Consider the following 18113-nt stretch of genomic DNA (forward strand, 5'->3'; position numbering starts at 1 on the left):
AATACATATCCTTATTTTCTTTCTTCTTTTTTTTTTTTTTGAGACCGGAGTTTTGCTCTTGTCACCCAGGCTGGAGTGTGATGGTGCAATCTCAGTTCACTGCAGCCTCCGCCTCCCGGGTTCAAGGAGTTCTCCCGCCTTGCCTCCTGAATAGCTGGGATTAGAGGCATGTACCACCACGCCCAGCTAATTTTGTATTTTCAGTAGAGATGAGGTCTTATCATGTTGGCCAGGCTTGTCTCAAACTCCTGACCTCAGGTGACCCACCCACCTCAGCCTCCCAAAGTGCTGGGATTACAGGCGCCCACCACTACACCCGGCTTCTTCTTTTTCTTATACAAAGAAAACATACACTTCTATATACACTGCTTTTTTTCATTTAACATTATATTTTAGTGATCTTTCCATATCACTTCTGTGCATCTTTTTCATGTTCCTGCATTCTTTAAGGTACTGCTTTCTACTCCCTTCTTCCTAAAAATCAAGATTAGATTTATCTATGCGCATGAGTTTCATTTCTCACACATTAGTAGAGATGTGTAGGCTTGCTAGGACACAAATACATTTGAGAGGAAATGCTTAGATACTTTCTTAAATCTTCTGCAGACATACTGTGTTGGTGGCTAGAGCACTACACAGACAAGAATAAAGAAACCAGGTATGTCCCACCAGTCTAAGAACATGTAATTAAAATGACTCACACTTTCCATTGCGGAAGAAACAAAGACCTTTAACTTTATCTTCACCAAATTATATAAGCAGCTCATCCAAGCTCTCTACTGATGTCATCTTCTCAGTTGGGATCAGAGGAAACATTCTTAATTTGTCACAAACATCTTGTTGGGTCTTTACCAAACTTGAGGTAATAAAATCTGTTTCTCTTTGCTGATAGTTTCACACTAAAAGCAGTTAGAAACTGACCTCAGAGCGATCAAGGTAAAGGGAAAGCAAGCTCTGTGTTACTAAGGAATTTTATTTGCAATGACATGCTCCCAATTCAAACAGGCCTTAGCATTAAAAAGGCAGTTTATTATCTCACCTCTCAGAGGGATGGTTCACTGGCTTGAGGTGTAGCTAGAACCAGGGATCAAATAATAACATCAAAACTCCATCTCTTGGTTTTGTTTTTCTCTGTGTTCTCTCCATGTGATGGCAAAGATGGCCCCATCTTTGGAGTTGCTTAGCAACTCTAGTGGAAGGAAGAACATCTTTTCTGAGAGCACTAACAAAAGTCCCTGGGAGGTCTCTGGCCTTGCTTGGACTACCAAACAGCCCTGCTTGGGCCAGAGAATGGTGAACCTCTGCTTAAACATATGAACAGAAATAGGATTTTACAGAAGTGGAGGAGGGGTGGCTTCCCAAAGGCATTTTGATTTATTTCTGTTTCACAACCACAAACCCACAAATGCAAACGAGAAAAAACAGCTAAAGAGAAGAAAACCAAAAGGCAAGTATCGTTGAAGCCAATTGCGTTTTTTGTTTGTTTTTTTGAGACGGAGTCTCGCTGTTGTCAGCCTGGGCTGGAGTGCAATGGCACAATCTCAGCTCACTGCAACCTCCGCCTCCCGGGTTCCAGCAATTCTGCCTCAGCCTCCCGAATAGCTGAGATTACAGGCGTGTGCCACCACGCCCAGCTAATTTTTGTATTTTTAGTAGAGACGGTTTCACCGTGTTGGCCAGAGTGGTCTCGAACTCCTGACCTTAGGTGACCCACCCGCCTCAGCTCACAAAGTGCTGGGATTACAGGCGTCAGCCACCATGCCCAGCCGTGTTTTTCTTTTAAGTAATTTATAGTTAGCACTTATTAAACACCCTCTGGATACCAGATGATTTACATACATTATCACAATCTTCAAAAAGCCCCCATAAGATAGGTAGTGAAGTTTCCACAGCCACACGACTACCAAGTGGCAGAACTGAGATAATAAGTAAAACTGAAGAAGAATGATGTGGTTGGCAATGTCAAATCATTTCATGATTTTTTTTTTCTATTTATAATGTGCCTGGGAGGACTCTGGCCTTGCTTGGTGTACCAAACAGCCCCATTTGGAGCAGGGACTGGTGGGAGGGAGTAGTGAACCTCTTCTTAACCATGTAAATGTAGGATTATACAGAATCCTACAGAATAGGATTAACCATGCTGCATACTAGGGCACAAATACGAACAAAGTACTATCCTGTCTTCCAGGAGGTTTCCGTCTGGCGGTAAACCAACATGTAAAGAATAATTACAAAGCAATGTTGTAAGTGCTATAGCAGAAGTCCTGGAACAGAGGCGGGAGTAGCTATCAGCTACAAAACAAACCATTGAAGAAAGCAGCCTTATTTGGAATATCAGTCAATAACAGTGGATTTGTCAATTTTACCTTTAAAATGTAACATCTAAGTGAAGATTTTAAAAGTTAAAAAAAAAAAGCATATACTCTTCCCCCAAACCCTACTCCTCAAAAAGACACTAGACTTGTAAAATTGTACAGATGAATTTTATCAAACTAAGGAACCCCTTTCTTAAATTGTTTCAGAGATTAGAAAAGGAATAATTACATTTCTTTTGAGACTTATAAAATCTCAATGTTTAAAACTTTATAAAGATAGTATAAGAGAAAAAGTTATAGCTTTGTCTCATTTATCAACATAGAAAAATCATATATATATATTTTAAAAGAGATGGGGTCTCACTGTCACACAGGCTGGAGTGCTGGGCTGTGATCACAGCTCACTGTAGCTTCGAATTCCTGGGCTCAAGTGATCCTTCCATCTCAGCTTCATGAGTGGTGCCTGGCCCCCATGTTTAAAATATAACAGCAATGGCATGAAAAATGAACTGGATGACCCATGACTCTATAACGGTTATATATGAAAAAACAGATCCCTGTATTACACACAAAATAAATTCAAGGTGGATTAAATATCTGAATATGAGACAGCATGGCGGCTCACACCTGTATTGCCAGCACTTTGGGAGGTCGAAGTGGAAGGATCCCTTGAGGCCAGGAGTTTGAGCCCTGGGCAACGTAGTGAGACACTGTCTCTACAAAAAATTTAAGAATTAGCTGGGCCTCGTGGTGCAGGCCTATAGTCCCAGCTACTGAGGAGGCTGAAGTGGGAAGCTCAGGTGATGAGCCCAAGGAGTTTAAGGTTGCAGTGAGCTATGATTGTGCCACTGCACTTCAGCCTGGGTGACCCTGTTGCGAAAAACAAAAACAGGCCACGAACAGTGGCTCATGCCCGTAATCCCAGCACTTTGGGAGGCTGAGGTATGTGGATCACTTGAGGTCAGGAGGTCAAGACCAACCTGGTCAACATGGTGAAACCCTGTCTCTACTAAAAATACAAAAATTAGCTGGGCGTGTTAGCGGGCACCTGTAATCCCAGCTACTTGGGAGGCTGAGGCAGGAGAATTGCTTGAGCCTGGGAGACAGAGGTTGCAGTGAGCTGAGATCTTACCATTGCACTCCAGCTTGGCTGACAGAGCGAGACTCTGTCTCAAAACAGGAAAAAAAAAAAAAAAAAAAAGCACCTAAAACAAATAGAAGCCACAGACTGGGTAAGAGATATAATCAAGACATAATTAATATCCAAAATAAATAAAAGAACTCTTGGAATCAGTAACACAAACCACCTAGGCTGGGTGCTGTGGCTCACACGTGTAAGCCCAGCACTTTGGGAGGCTGAGGTGGGTGGATCACTTGGGGTCAGGAGGTCAAGACCAGCCTGGCCAACTTGATGAAACCCTGTCTCTAGGGCCAGGTGTGGTGGCTTATGCCTGTAATCCCAGCATTTTGGGAGGCCGAGGCGGGCAGATCACAAGGTCAGGAGATCGACACCATCCTGGCTAACACTGCGAAACCCCGTCTCTACTAAAAATACAAAAAATTAGCCGGGCGTCGTGGCACGTGCCTGTAGTCCCAGCTACTCGGGAGGCTGAGGCAGGAGAATTGCTTGAACCCGGGAGGCAGAGGTTGCAGTGAGCCAAGATTGCACCACTGCACTCCAGCCTGGGTGACAGAGTTGAGACTCCATCTCAAAAAAAAAAAAAAAAAAAAAGAGAAGAAAAGAAACCCTGTCTCTACTAAAAATACAAAAATTAACTGGGCGTGGTGGTGGCACCTGTAATCCCAGCTATGCGGTAAGCTGAGGCAGGAGAATCTCTTGAACCTGGGAGGTGGAGGTTGCAGTGAGCTGAGATCGCTCCACTGTACTCCAGTCTGGGCAACAGAGCAAGACTCTCAAACAACAACAACAATAAAAACAAACCACCCAGTAGAAAAATGGGCGAAAGACTTTTAAACTATTTGAGATTAGAAAAAGGAATAACCACAAATTCATTTTGAGACTTACCAAATCTCAGTGTTAAAACTTTATAAAGACAACATGAGGCCATGCACAGTGGCTCATGCCTGTAATCCCATCCCAACACTTTGGGAGGCCAAGGTGGGAGGATCAATTGAGCCCAGGAGTTTAAGCTTGCAGTGAGTGATGATCGTGCCACTTTACTCCAGCCTGGGTGACAGAGTGAAACCCTGTGTCCAAAGCAAAACAAAACCCACAGAAACAAAAAGACAGTGTAAGAGAAAAAAGAAATTATAGATCTCATTTATTAACATAGAAAAATCGTAAAGTTTTTATTTTTTTAAAGAGATGGGGTCTCGCTCTGCTGCCCAGGCTGGAGTGCAGTGGCATGTTCATAGCTCACTGCAGCCTCAAATTCGTGGGTTTAAGCAATCCTCCTGCCTCAGCCCCACAAAGTGCTGGCCAGGCTTAAGCTACCATGCCCGGCCTGGCATTTAGCTCTTTAATTTACCTTGAATTTATTTTATGTATAATTAATATAGGAATCTATTTTTTCATATGTATATAATCAATTATTTTGTGTAATTCCTACAAAAGAGAAAACCTAACAGGTCAATAAACAAAATTCTTAACATCACTCAAGACCACTGTTATTGTACCAACTCTAGAATGCACCGTTCACAAAGACTAAAATGTGAACAGCACCTCCTAGAGTTGTGTGGTATCTACACTACATTATTGGTGGCCTTGTAAAAATCTAAAGGAAACTATAGAATATAACTGCATCAAATTGGCCGAAATTAAATTTTCAACAAATGAAATATTGGTGAGGACGTGAAGCATCTAGAATTGTCATAAATGGCTATTTTGTATGTAAACTGGTACCATCACTTTGGGAAAAAGTTTGACACTGTATCTAGTGAAGTTGAAGGTGCCTGTAATCCATGGCTTAGCAAGTTCCACTTTTAGTTATATATTCCAGAAATATCCCTACATGTGTACAAGAGACATGTAGAAGAATGATCATTGCAACCTTGTTTGAACAAAAAATTGGAAACCAACTAAATGTCCACCACAGGAGAATGGAGAGATAATGTGGTATATTTATACAAAGGAATACTATATAGCAGTTGAAATAACTAGAGCCACATGTGCCAACATAAATAAATCTCCAAAACAGTACTGATAATGAAAAAAGCAAGAGGCAGTATATTCAGCATGATCCATCTCTATAATAAACTTTAAAAATTTGCAAAACAATTATATTTATTGCTTATAGATATAAACTTATGTAATAAAAGTATAAACCACGCAAGGGAATGAAACATCAAATTCAGGATGGTGGTTACCTCATGGAGGGAGGGAAATGGGATCAGGAAAGGGTAAATGTGGGGTTTCAAACACTAGTCATGTTTTGTCCAAAAAGTAAAAACCTGACGCAAAGACAGCAAAATGTTTACTGTTAATTGGGTCATGAGTGTTTCTTTTCTTTTCTTTTCTTTTTTTTTAAAGACACAGGGTCTCACTGGGTTGCCCAGGCTGGTCTTGAATTCCTGGGCTCAAACGACCCTTGCACCTTGGCTTCCTGTAACTTGGATTACAGGCACATATCACCATGCCCAGCTTCATTTTACTTTTATGTTTGAAATATTTAATCACTTTTGTTTTGTTTTTAAGTTACACCAATGAGAATAGGAATTAGGTCCTTCTCAAAGGAGAGCATCTGGCTGCCTCCATTTCTCACTTCCTCCTCCCTCCTCAGCTCAAGATAGGCAAGCTTCTACCCCTCCACTTCTCTGCCCCAGAGTTTGCTAGGCTTACCAAAATAACCTTGTCCCCCGCCCGTGGATACTTGCCACCACACCCAGCTAATTTTCATTTTTTTTTTTTGTAGCAATGGGGTGTCACTATGTTGCCAGGTTGGTCTCAAACTCCTGGCCTCAAGGGATCCTCCCCTATACTTTACGTTACTCTCTCCTGGAAGCTCCTAATTGGCTTTCTCCTGATTTTCCTCTGGTCTCTCAGTCACTCTCGTTTCTATGCTTTTCTACCCGCTCCTGAAGTCTCCATTTCCCCAGGGTTCCCTCCTCACCAGTGTCTCCTCTTCTCTATCTGCACATTCTCTGTAGATGATTTCATCTAACCCATGTCTTTAATGATGACTCCAAAATTTTTATCTCAATGTCATCTCTCTCCTGAGCACTAAACCAGTCCGTGTAAATGCCCACTATGGGCCCTTATCCTGCCAAAATCTTAACCTCTGAAACTGGGCACATCCCCTGCCTACATCTCCTGGCCCCCCAACACCAGCTTCTCTTCCTGGGTCCCATTTCACGATCCATGGCACAGCGTTCCATTCTGTCACCAACACGACAACCTGGGAGTCATCTTCAACCACTCCCTCTTCCACTCCCTGCACTCACCTCGCCCTCTGCCTGTTTCTGAAGTCAGCCCCTCACTGTGGTTCCTCAAGCCTCTATTGCCTGGGCCTCATCATTTCTCTTGAAGTTACTACAGTAATCCCCCAACTATGGTCACCTCACCACCATCCCTGCTCCTGCAGTCTGTTCTCCTTGCTACAGCAAAGAGTTATCTTTGTAAAATGTAACTTCATCTTAGCACCCATCTCTCAAAATCACTGAAGTGCAGAGCGGTCAGGATAAAACTATTCTCCTTTGCAAGGCACTCAGAGTCCTCCCTGCTGTGACCTCCAGCCTCATCCCCAGCGTCCCCCATACTCCACTAGCCCAGCCATGCTGTGCTCTCACCTCTAGCCTTTGATTATGATGTCTCTCCACTGTAAATACCCTTCCCTCTAAACTGTTGCCAAATGTACCCCCAATTCTTTTTGCTTGCTAGCCACTAATATTTCCCCTTCACCAGTTGTTTACTAAGAACCCTGCACCCTTCTCCCAGGTTGGGTATTAGACCTTTGTCACAGTCATCCTCACACTGCACTCTTTCACTATGAAGTCACTTGCCATCCTCCTTTACTCAGGAGCAACATGAGGACTCTCCCTTATCCTTGTACCCCGGCTGCAGAGCAAAATGCCTGGCACATTGATGGCATCTAGGTGTATGACTGCTCTTACCTGGAACTGAGAGCCTACTTAACAAGCACTGACACATCTTACTTTTGCAGCAGCAGCTGAAACACACTGGCCCCAAAGAGGGCATGAGACAGGCTTGTGCAATCCCAAAGGTGGCCAGAGGATCTCTTTCAAGGAGAATTTGGAAGGAGGCAATATAAATGTTCTTATTCTCAAAAGACTCATTCTTCCTTAAACAGAAAAAAGGAAAGCCTTAAAATGTACAACTGATTCCCTTTTTCATCCTTATTTCTTATAGTTTGGATGTTTGTCCCTGCCCAAATCTCAAGTTGAATTATAATCCTAAATGCTGGAGGTGAGGCCTCGTGGGAGGTGTTTGGATCATGGGGCAGATCCCTCATGATTGGTACTGTCTTCGTGATAGTTTTCACAATATCTGGTCATTTCAAGGTGTGTGGCACCTGCCTCCACTCTCTCTCTTGCTCCTGCTTTCACCATGTGAGACGCCTGCTCCCGCTTCACCTTCCATCATGAGTAAAGCTTCCTGAGGCCTCCCCAGAAGCAGATGCTAGCACTGTTTCCTGTACAGCCTGCAGAACTGTGAGCCAATTAAACGTCTTTTCTTTTCTTTTTTTTTTTTTTTTTTTTGAGACAGAGTCTCACTCTGTCACCCAGGCTGAAGTGCAGTGGCAAGATCTCTGCTCACTGCAACCTCCACCTCCCAGGTTCAAGTGATTCTCCTGCCTCAGCCTCCTGAGTAGCTGGGATTACAGGTGCCCACCACCACGCCTGGCTAATTTTTTTTTGTATTTTTAGTAGAGACGGGGTTTCACCATGTTGGTCAGGCTGGTCTCGAACTTCTGACCTCAAGTAATCCACCGGCCTTGGGCTCTCAAAGTGCTGGGATTACAGGCGTGAGCCACCTTGCCTAGCCAAATGTCTTTTCTTATAAATTACCCAGTCTCAGCTATTTATTTATAGCAATGCAAGAATGGCCTAACACACCTAAAACCAATCCTGGTGGCTGACACTGAGGAAGCAAAGCCACAGTTTGGTCGGAGGATCCACATACACCTCTGTGATCGACAGCTTTGCTCCTTCACCTGGAGCTGTTGCTTCCAGATGTGGGATGGAGCGGTGCAAACACATGTGCAGACACCTGGTGTGCAGCATGACACTCTACAAACATCTGCCCAATAGGCTTCTCCTGAGGACAGTCATGTTTATTAGCAAAAGCTCTGGAAAATGGGACTAGCAAATTGGAAGGAGTCACTTAGAAGCTGGCAGACAGACGACCTCAGCTGGAGTTTCCTAAGTGCTAGTCACTGCATGTGTGGTAGACAGCCCTCCTATACCTATCACAACCCCATTGCCAAGTGGGCAGAGCTGCCCTCATTTCAAAGGAGAGGACACTGACACTTTGAGAATGAAGTTACCTACCCAACATCACACAACTAGGACATCCTGGTGCCAAAATTCACACTTCGGTCTAATGCCAAAACCCATCTTTATTTTGCTAGTCCAGACAGTGAGAATTAAAGGGCTGTGTTTAAATGTGGCCCACAGACATGTATATAAATACCTAATTTTCTTGCTTCTCCTGAAAAAATTCTTAAGATCTAGCAACAATCAGCTAGAACAACAACAAAAACGGTTCCAGTTCATTCCACCTGCCTTAAGTTTCCTGCTCCTGAAAAGACTGGGTTTGTGACCATCGCACCATAGTCTACACACTGTCATTTATTTATTTTTGAGACAGAGTCTCGCTCTGTCACTCAGCTTGGAGTGCAGTGGTGCAATCTCGGCTCACTGCAACCTCGGCTAACTGCAACCTCCGCCTCCCGGGTTCAAATGATTCTCCTGTCTCAGCCTCCTGAATAGCTGGGATTACAGGATTAACTTGCCCAGCTAGTTTTAATATGTTTTGTTTTTTGGAGACAGAGTCTCTGTCATCTAGGCTGGAGTGCAGTGGCACGATCTTGGTTCACTGCAACCTCTGCCTCCCAGGTTCAAGAGATTCTTGTGCCTCAGTCTCCCGAGTAGCTAGCATTACAGGCATGCACCACTATGCCCAGCTAATTTTTGTATTTTTAGTAGAGATGGGGTTTTGCCATGTTAGCCAGGCTGGTCTGGAACTGCTGACCGCAGGTGATCCACCCACCTCAGCCTCCCAAAGTGCTGGAATTATAAGCATGAGCCACCATGCCTGGCCTAGTTTTTATTTTATTTTCAGACAGAGTTTCGCTCTTGTTGCCCAGGCTGGAATGCGATGGCGCAATCTTGGCTCACTGCCACCTCTGCCTCCCAGGTTCAAGAGATTCTCCTGCCTCAGCCTCCCCAGTAGCTTGGATTACAGGCGCCTGCCACCATGCCCGGCTAATTTTTATATTTTTAATAGAGGTGGGGTTTCACCATGTTGGCCAGGCTGGTCTTAACTCCTGACTTTAAGTGATCTGCCCACCTTGACCTCCCAAAGTGCTTGGATTACAGGTGTGAGCCACCATGCCCGGCCCATTTATTTTACAAAATAATTCCCTCAAAGTATATGCAAGCAAAATACTAAGCCACGTGGGCCCTTGTTGTTTGGGCTGCTGTAACAAAACACCATAGACTGAATAGTTAATAAACAATATAGCTCTATTTCTTACCATTCTGGAGGCTGGGAAGTCCAAGATCAAGGTGTGATTTGGTGTCTAGTGAGAGCCAGATTCCTGGTTTATAGACAGCCATCTTCTCATTGTGTCCTCACATGGCGGAAGAGGTAAGGAATTTCTGGAGTCTCTTTGATAAGGACACTAATCCCATTCATGAGGGCTCTGCGTTTTTTCTTTTTTTGAGACGGAGTTTTGCTCTTGTTGCCCAGGCTGGAGTGCAATGGCGCGATCTCAGGTCACTGCAACCTCCTTCTCCTGGGTTCAAATGGTTCTCCTGCCTCAACCTACCGAGTAGCTGGGATTACAGGCGCCCGCCACCACGCCCAGCTGATTTTTGTTTTTTTAGTAGAGATGGCGTTTCACCATGTTGGCCAGGCTGGTCTCAAACTCCTGACCTGAGGTGATCCACCTGCCTCCGCCTCCCAAAGTGTTGGGATTACAGACGTGAGCCACCATGCCTGGCCGGGCTCTGCTCTTAAGATCTAATCACCTCCCAAAGACCCCACCTCTGATACCATAATTCTGGGAGTTACGATTTCAACATAGGAATCTGGGGGGACACAAACATTCAGACCATAGCAGCTCTCATCTTTCATGAAGGAGGCACAGAGCCGGGCGGCACCACCTACCTGCTTTAGCACAGGTGAGTGAGCACTGTCATCAGAGCTGGTTTAACTGCACTTGCCACTCCATCACCCCGACTGCCTTCTCCCACTGTCAGCTGGCTTCACAGCCCAGCAGTTACTGACATGTTAGTAAAGAAGGACATTCACAGTGGCACTGGGTAAGCTGAAGAACAAAAGTACAGCATGAAAATGCCAGCTGAAAAGGCATTCACTGGAGGTCAAAAAGGTTCACAAGAGGCAGCAATAAACAGGGAAGTTGATGAAACTTTGGGTTGGGGGATGCACGTCCCGAAACTTACATTAAGAAAAGCTCTTTCAATTAACAAAATCGAATTCAGAGCAAACGGGTGAACTGGACTGAGTGTGCCTCTATTGTTGGGTAAAGCTTAGTAATACTGCCCACAGTATCATTTGCCAGAGATTTCTTGAGAGGTTGCACAGAAAGGTCTTGTTGTTGAACTGAAGAAAAATGTTGGGAATGGCTCTGTGATCCTGCCTGTTGTCAGGTTGGTTTCACCAGCAAGGGGCCCACCGTACCTCTCCTGTGGAGACACTGCTTAGTTTCAATGTGCTTTTCATTCTCTTGGCTGCCTGAGCAAATGGCCATCACTGTTTCCATTGTGAGCTCTTCCCCTTCCGGAGCTGAGCCCAAGTACAGGGAACATGTGCTGGAGACCAACATTTGGCAGCCTGGGTCCCACTTGGAGTGACTTTCTGCCACTCCCTTTCCTCCCACAGAGACATTTCCCTGCATTTGGTCACTGAAAAGCAGTGCCGGACAGGCTTGTTCTAAAAGCTGATTCCTAACCCTACTGGCTCATATGAATGAGGGGCAAAAAATCCATACCCAAATTCAGAGCCCAGGTTAGTCGATTGAGACAAAATTTATTTTCAGGCCGGGTGCGGTGGCTCATGCCTGTAATCCCAGCACTTTGGCAGGCAGAGGCGGGAGGATCACCTGAGGTCGAGAGTTCGAGACCAGCCTGACCTTCATGGAGAAACCCCATCTCTACTAAAAATACAAAATTAGCCGGGCATGGTGGCACATGCCTGTAATCCCAGGTACTCGGGAGGCTGAGGCAGGAGAATCGCTTGAACCCAGGAGGTGGAGGTTGTGGTAAGCCCAGATCACGCCGGTGTACTCCAGCCTGGACAACAAGAGTGAAACTCTGTCTAAAAAACAAAAAAGTTATTTTCATCCCTCCCTTGTCACCAACATGACTGAGGCCATATGTAGTCACATCAACAATGGGCAGTTTCCTAGAGAAAATTTCTCTTTGTATTATCTATCCAATTAATAATTTTTATGAGAATCCTACCTAACAGTTGAAAAAAACTGAGCATCCTAAATGCGAGGATCTAATTTGGTAGGACAGATGAGAAGTTATAAGTAGAGGTTACATACTTTCCCCACATACACATAGAAGTTAGTGGCAGAACTGGTACTAGGACACAATTGCTTGAGTATCTAGGCCCAGTTTTATTCTACTACACAAAGTAATAAGGGCTATGTTTTTGTTTTTTTGCATTTTAAATTTGAGGTATAATTACGTAAAGTACACGAACATTAACGTGTAGACTTAATTTCGACAAATGTTTACACCAATATAATCAACGCTCCAATCAAAACACAGGATGTTTCCATCTCCCAGAGGGTGCTCCTGTGCCTCTTTCTAACTCAACCGCCTGCTCCCCATCCCCCACCACATCAGGCAATAACCACTCATCTGACATCTATCCCTTTTGATTCATTTTGGGTCCCCAGTTTTAAGAAATAAAAATTGAATTCAAACAACTTTGCCTGAAGCCCTTAAATCTTTACAGAATTTTCCTACCACTTTTGGACCATAGGTATAAAGATTTGTTTTGGATTCATCTGGATGGTGTTACAGCAAGTCAGTCTCAGCCCCAGTACAGACACGTTTAAGTTTAAAAGGATTCACATTTATAGGATGTGAAGGTCAACAATTCTTCAATATGGGGTATTAAAAAAACTACTCTTTCTGGAAAATAAATGTACTTTGTCTAAAATATCTGCCTCCTTGGCTGTTTCTGTATTCAACCATTCCTTCGGGATAGCCGCCTATGGGAAGAGCTGCTTGAGCTCTTGAAAGTAAGCACTTAGATACTAAGTATTTTTCCAGTTGGAAGCTGTCTCCTGGTTTCAATAGCTTTTCTGCTGCGGTGGGACTCATTTTAACAGCTCCTCTGGCTTTCCCAGACACCATCTCAGGAGGCAGTGGCAGTTGAAAAGATAACACTGTCCTAAGCCATTTAACTAGCCAGCAAGGGAAGTGGGTTTTAGGAGCTGGAAAATTTTGGCTAAGGCTTGCTCAGAACACTGTCTTAAATCCAAAAAGTCTTGCCAAGGTCCAGGTGGAGGCAGCTTTCCCCCAGCCACAGACACTACCAAATCAGACAGGGCTTGCATTTCTTCCGACCAGAGGCACTGGCAGCCAGGGTTGGTCATTATCTCCATAGCAGCCTTGTTTCCCCAGACAGTGAGCTCATGCTTGGCGCTGATCAACTCCATAAAACAAGGCGTTTAACCCTATGCAGAAATGACTACATGAAACCTATACAATTATTTAAATCAAGCCAAGTTTTGAAAATTATGAAGAAAATACAAATTATGCAACACAGTCATAACATTAGAACCCACTTATGGGCACAGAATAAACAGCAATGCTGAAAGTTTAAACTTCCCTGAAAGAGCCAAATTCCAGAAGACAGTAATTCTGCGGAATTCAGCTGCCTAAAGCAGCTTGTGAGGTTCCTCTTCCCTATGCAACATTGCCTCTACGTGTTTTCTGGTGTTAATGCAGTTTAAGATAGAGAAATCTTTTTCCACTAATTTTTATTTCATTTAAAAAATTTATTTAAAAAATATAATTAACATGGTTCAAAATTTTAAAAGGGTAAAACCAAACACAGCATATTCTCACTCATAGGTGGGAACTGAACAATGAGAACACATGGACACAGGAAGGGGAACATCACACTCTGGGGCCTGTTGTGGGGTGGGGGGAGGGGGGAGGGATAGCATTGGGAGATATACCTAATGCTAGATGACGAGTTAGTGGGTGCAGCGCACCAGCATGGCACATGTATACATATGTAACTAACCTGCACAATGTGCACATGTACCCTAAAACTTAAAGTATAATAATTAAAAAAAAAATTTTTTTTAAAAGGTATTCAGTAAAAAGTCTCCCTCCCACTCCTTGGACCCCAGCCATCCTTTTTCCTGTTCGATGACTGGTTTCTTGTAAGTCGATTCAGAGATACTTTAGTATATACAAGCTAAACAGTTACATATCTTTCATGCCTTTTTTTTTTTTGAAACGGAGTTTTGCTCTTGTTGCCCAGCCTGGAGTGCAATGGCCTGATCTTGGCTCACCACAACCTCCGCCTCTCGGGTTCAAGCGATTCTCCTGACAGCCTCCCGAGTAGCTGGGATTATAGGCATGCACCACTACGCCCGGCTAATTTTTAATTTTTAGTAGAGACGAGGTTTCTCCATGTTGGCCAGGCTGCTCCTGAACTCCCAACCTCAGGTGATCCGCCTGCCTCAGTCTCCCAAAGTGCTGGGATTACAGGCATGAGCCACTGCGCCCGGCCTCTTTCATGCTTTTTTAATATAAATGGCATGGTTGTAATGCTGTTCTGTGCTTTGCTTTCTTTGGATTCACTGTATTTAGAAACAGAACTTAGAAGATATATTTAAATCAAGCAAAATTATATGTTTATTTAATCTTTGACCCAACAATCCCACTTCTAAGACTATCCAAAAGATACAGTGGCAAAAATACAAATTGTTGTATATATGATATGGATTTATGACTACTGCTAGAGTGAAGAAAAAACCAGGGAGGGGACAAGGATGAAAGACCTCTCTGAGTGTACCTTTCTTCAAAGAAAACTAGTTCTAGCCAGGTGTGGTAGCTCATGCCTGTAATCCTAGCACTCTGGGAGGCCAAGATGGGAGGATCGTTTGAGGCCAGGAATTAAAGACCAATCTGGCCATCATAGTGAGACCCCGTCTCTATTTTTTAAAAAACAAACAAGGGGGCCGGGCGCAGTGGCTCACGCCTGTAATCCCAGCACTTTGGGAGGCCGAGGCGGGCGGATCATGAGGTCAGGAGATCGAGACCATCCTGGCTAACACGGTGAAACACCGTCTCTACTAAAAATACAAAAAATTAGCTGGGCATGGTGGTGGGCGCCTGTAGTCCCAGCTACTCAGGAGGCTGAGGCAGGAGAATGGCGTGAACCCAGGAGACGGAGCTTGCAGTGAGTCGTGATCGCACCACTGCACTCTAGCCTGGGTGACAGAGCAAGACTCTGTCTCAAAAAATAAATAAATAAATAAAATAAAATAAAAAAATAAAAAACAAAACAAAACTAGTTTCAACTTTGGAATCATACAAACATTTTACATAATTTTTTAAAAGGTATCCCTAAAAACTGAAAGTAAAATTATGTACAGATTTGGAGCAATAACTAGAGAGGAACTATTTCAAGTGACTTAAAAGACAATTGTTAGAAGCAGGGTTTCTTAACCTCAGCATGACTGACATTTTGAGCCAGATAATTATTTGTGGGGAGTGGGGGTGGGGACAGGGCAGTTGTCCTGTGCATCATGCGACGTTAGCAGCATCCAAGGCTCAGCGAGCTTCTATAATTGGCAACAACTGGCACATACTGCCATACATCATTGCTGGGAGGATTAAGTGCTGTCTGTGCGACACCACTGGGGGAGTGTTTTAAAATATAGGTTTTAGGTGGCCCGACGTGGTGGCTCATGCCTGTAATCCCAGCACTATGGAAGGCCAAGGTGGGAAGATCATTTGAGCTCAAGCATTCGAGACTAGCCTGGGCAACACAGCAAGACACCCGTCTCCAAAAAAGTAAGATAAAAAAATATAAAATATAGGTTTTATTATTATTCAAGTATGGTGAGGGCAATAGATCAGGTGACTGCCATTGACAAGAAAGCTTGTTGTACTTACAGATTCCAAAAGGGGCATGGCACGCCACAGGGAGCCACACTGGAAGCCCAGGGTCAGTGAGGAGGTAGAGGGAACGATGGGATCAAGTGGAGTAAGAGCCTTGTGATCTCCATGGGAAGGAAGGGGCAAGGCCGAGTAAACAGACTGGCGAGTTCGAATAATTTCAGCAGGCTGTGGGGCCTAGGGGCTGTCCCTAGCTTTCTGGTACCTGGCCCTGCGGTGATTAGGGCAGGTGGATATCCCAGAGTATGGGATATTGGCTCAGAGTATGAGACGTCCTGTAAAGGAGAGATTGGGGTATGGGCTCCAGATTGGTTGGTTTACATATGAAAGGAGCAGTCATAGGTGAGTCATTTACTCTCTCCAGGAATTGGCTAGCCTTGGGAGGAACAATCTCTCCACCGAGTGAGCAAGGCCCCTCCCATGTCAAAGAATCAAACACGCACGGTTCATATTGAGGGTACAACTGGAAGCTTGTGCTTGTTTTCTGCTGGACTTCGCTCACGCACCTTCTCCGTTTGCTGATTTTAATCTGTATCCTTTCACTAAAATAAACAGGAATGATGTGTATAGCAGCTTTTCAGAGTTCTGTGAATCTATCTTGTGAATCATCAAGCATGAGGGTGGTCTCAGGGACCCCTGACACGGCTGCTAGAACCATCAGGTGGAAGGTTAGTGGGGTACTTTATAATGGAAAAGACCAGACTGACACCACAGACCCCATTGCTCAGTCACAGCGTGTGGAACCACCAGATGTCACGTTCCTCTCCATATGATGCAAAACAAAGATGCAGAGTCACTCAGGAAGTACTTATGTCAGATCAACCGCACCTGAATCTAATCAAGGCTCTTTGTGTAACTGCACATTTTTAGGAAATACTGGGGAGACAGGAACCTTTAAACAACACTGGGAGGAAATGAGCAGTGAAATACAAAATGTGGGAAATTCTACAGGACAAAAAACCCACCTTTCAACACAGAAAAAAGGGTAACTGTTACAGATTTAAAGAGACAAAAGACCCCATCAATCAAATGCACAGTGTGGCTCTTATTTAGATCTTAATTTGAACAAATAAACAGTCAAAATACATTTTTGAGACAACATGGGAAAACTGAGCAGACTACATATTAGATATTAAGGATATTAATTCTGTTGGGTGAAATACGATGGTTAGGATTTGCTTTAAATGGTCAAAGAAAAAAATATTGGCGGGGACGAGGCAATAGATCAAACAAGAGCAGCAATAAAGCTGACGTTTGCTAAGTTTGAGTGGTGGTTCAGGGAGTCCACTGTGCTAGTCTATATTTGTGACTAAAAATTTCCATAACAAGTTCAAAAAAGAAAATGTATTTAAAAATTAGAAGCAGTTATCAGCCAAATATAGGTTAAGAAACATTAGTAAAATAAAAATCCTTTCACTTGCCGTTAAAAATAAAAAACAGTAAAAACACATTTTATAAATATATGAAATCTGAGAGCCTGCCAAGATTGCAGAGATGTGATTGTAAGGCACAGATGAGATTTTAAACCTGGGTTTTTAGAGATTAAAATAAAATGTAGGATGGTTTAAGCACCTACTTTTAGCTCTTGAGAAAACAGGTACAGTCCAAAGTGAAGCTGCCTTTAGTCTCTAGCCTTCATGTTTTTTTTCTAGTCTCTATTCTGAAGTCTAAATTTGTTGGTTTTTTTGGGGGGTGAAAATTTAACATAAAATTTAGGCATAAAAAACATTATCCTTTTACGTTTTAATATAAGTCTTTATCCTTTAAACTAAGATCTCATAAGAGAGAGACGCATCATCCTTTAGATAAAAGCTCCCGACAGCCCAGGTGTCCCAGCTGCTGTCATAATGTAAGATTTGGGGCCAGGCAAAAGAAACTGATTAAAGCAGAATACTGGAGATCCTGGCCTTCAAGTAGTGATATTTTTGCTTTTTTTTTTTTTGAGACGGAGTTTCACTCTTATTGCCCAGGCTGGAGTGCAATGGCACAATCTTGGCTCACCACAACCTCCGCCTCCTGGGTTCAAGCGATTTTCCTGCCTCAGTCTCCCGAGTAGCTGGGATTACAGGCATGTACAACCACGCCCAGCTAATTTTGTATTTTTAGTAGAGACGGGGTTTCTCCATGTTGGTCATTGCCTTTTTTTTTTTTTTTTTCTTTGAGACAGAGTCTCACTTTGTTGCCCAGGTTTGAGTGCAGTGGTGCGATCTCAGCTCACTGAAACCTCCGCCTCCCAGGTTCAAGCGATTCTCGTGCCTCAGTCCCCCAAGTAGCTGGGACTACAGGCATGCGCCACCACGCCCAGCTAATTTTTGTATTTTTAGTAGAGACGGGGTTTCGCCATGTTGGCCAGGCTGGTCTCGAACTCCTGGCCTCAAGCTATCCGCCCACCTTGGCCTCCCAAAGTGTTAGGATTACAGGTGCCACTATGCCTGGCCTTCTTTCTTTCCTATCTAAAAGGATTTCTTATGGAAA

General features: G+C 43.8%; 4 annotated features.

Annotated features, from left to right (window-relative positions):
* Positions 5786 to 5865: an enhancer, noted in NCBI's record as "active region_11141". NCBI's record gives its function as "activates an Ori minimal core promoter by ATAC-STARR-seq in GM12878 lymphoblastoid cells {active_cell/tissue: GM12878}" and the evidence as "EXISTENCE:reporter gene assay evidence [ECO:0000049][PMID:35858748]".
* Positions 5946 to 5995: an enhancer, noted in NCBI's record as "active region_11142". NCBI's record gives its function as "activates an Ori minimal core promoter by ATAC-STARR-seq in GM12878 lymphoblastoid cells {active_cell/tissue: GM12878}" and the evidence as "EXISTENCE:reporter gene assay evidence [ECO:0000049][PMID:35858748]".
* Positions 14846 to 15843: an enhancer, noted in NCBI's record as "OCT4-NANOG-H3K27ac-H3K4me1 hESC enhancer chr16:75626991-75627988 (GRCh37/hg19 assembly coordinates)". NCBI's record gives its function as "activates a minimal SCP1, AML or CMV promoter by ChIP-STARR-seq in naive and primed H9 embryonic stem cells {active_cell/tissue: H9 hESC(naive and primed)}" and the evidence as "EXISTENCE:reporter gene assay evidence [ECO:0000049][PMID:30033119]".
* Positions 15844 to 16840: an enhancer, noted in NCBI's record as "OCT4-NANOG-H3K27ac-H3K4me1 hESC enhancer chr16:75627989-75628985 (GRCh37/hg19 assembly coordinates)". NCBI's record gives its function as "activates a minimal SCP1, AML or CMV promoter by ChIP-STARR-seq in naive and primed H9 embryonic stem cells {active_cell/tissue: H9 hESC(naive and primed)}" and the evidence as "EXISTENCE:reporter gene assay evidence [ECO:0000049][PMID:30033119]".

Source organism: Homo sapiens, chromosome 16 (assembly GCF_000001405.40).
Source record: "Homo sapiens chromosome 16, GRCh38.p14 Primary Assembly".
Taxonomy (NCBI): domain Eukaryota; kingdom Metazoa; phylum Chordata; class Mammalia; order Primates; family Hominidae; genus Homo; species Homo sapiens.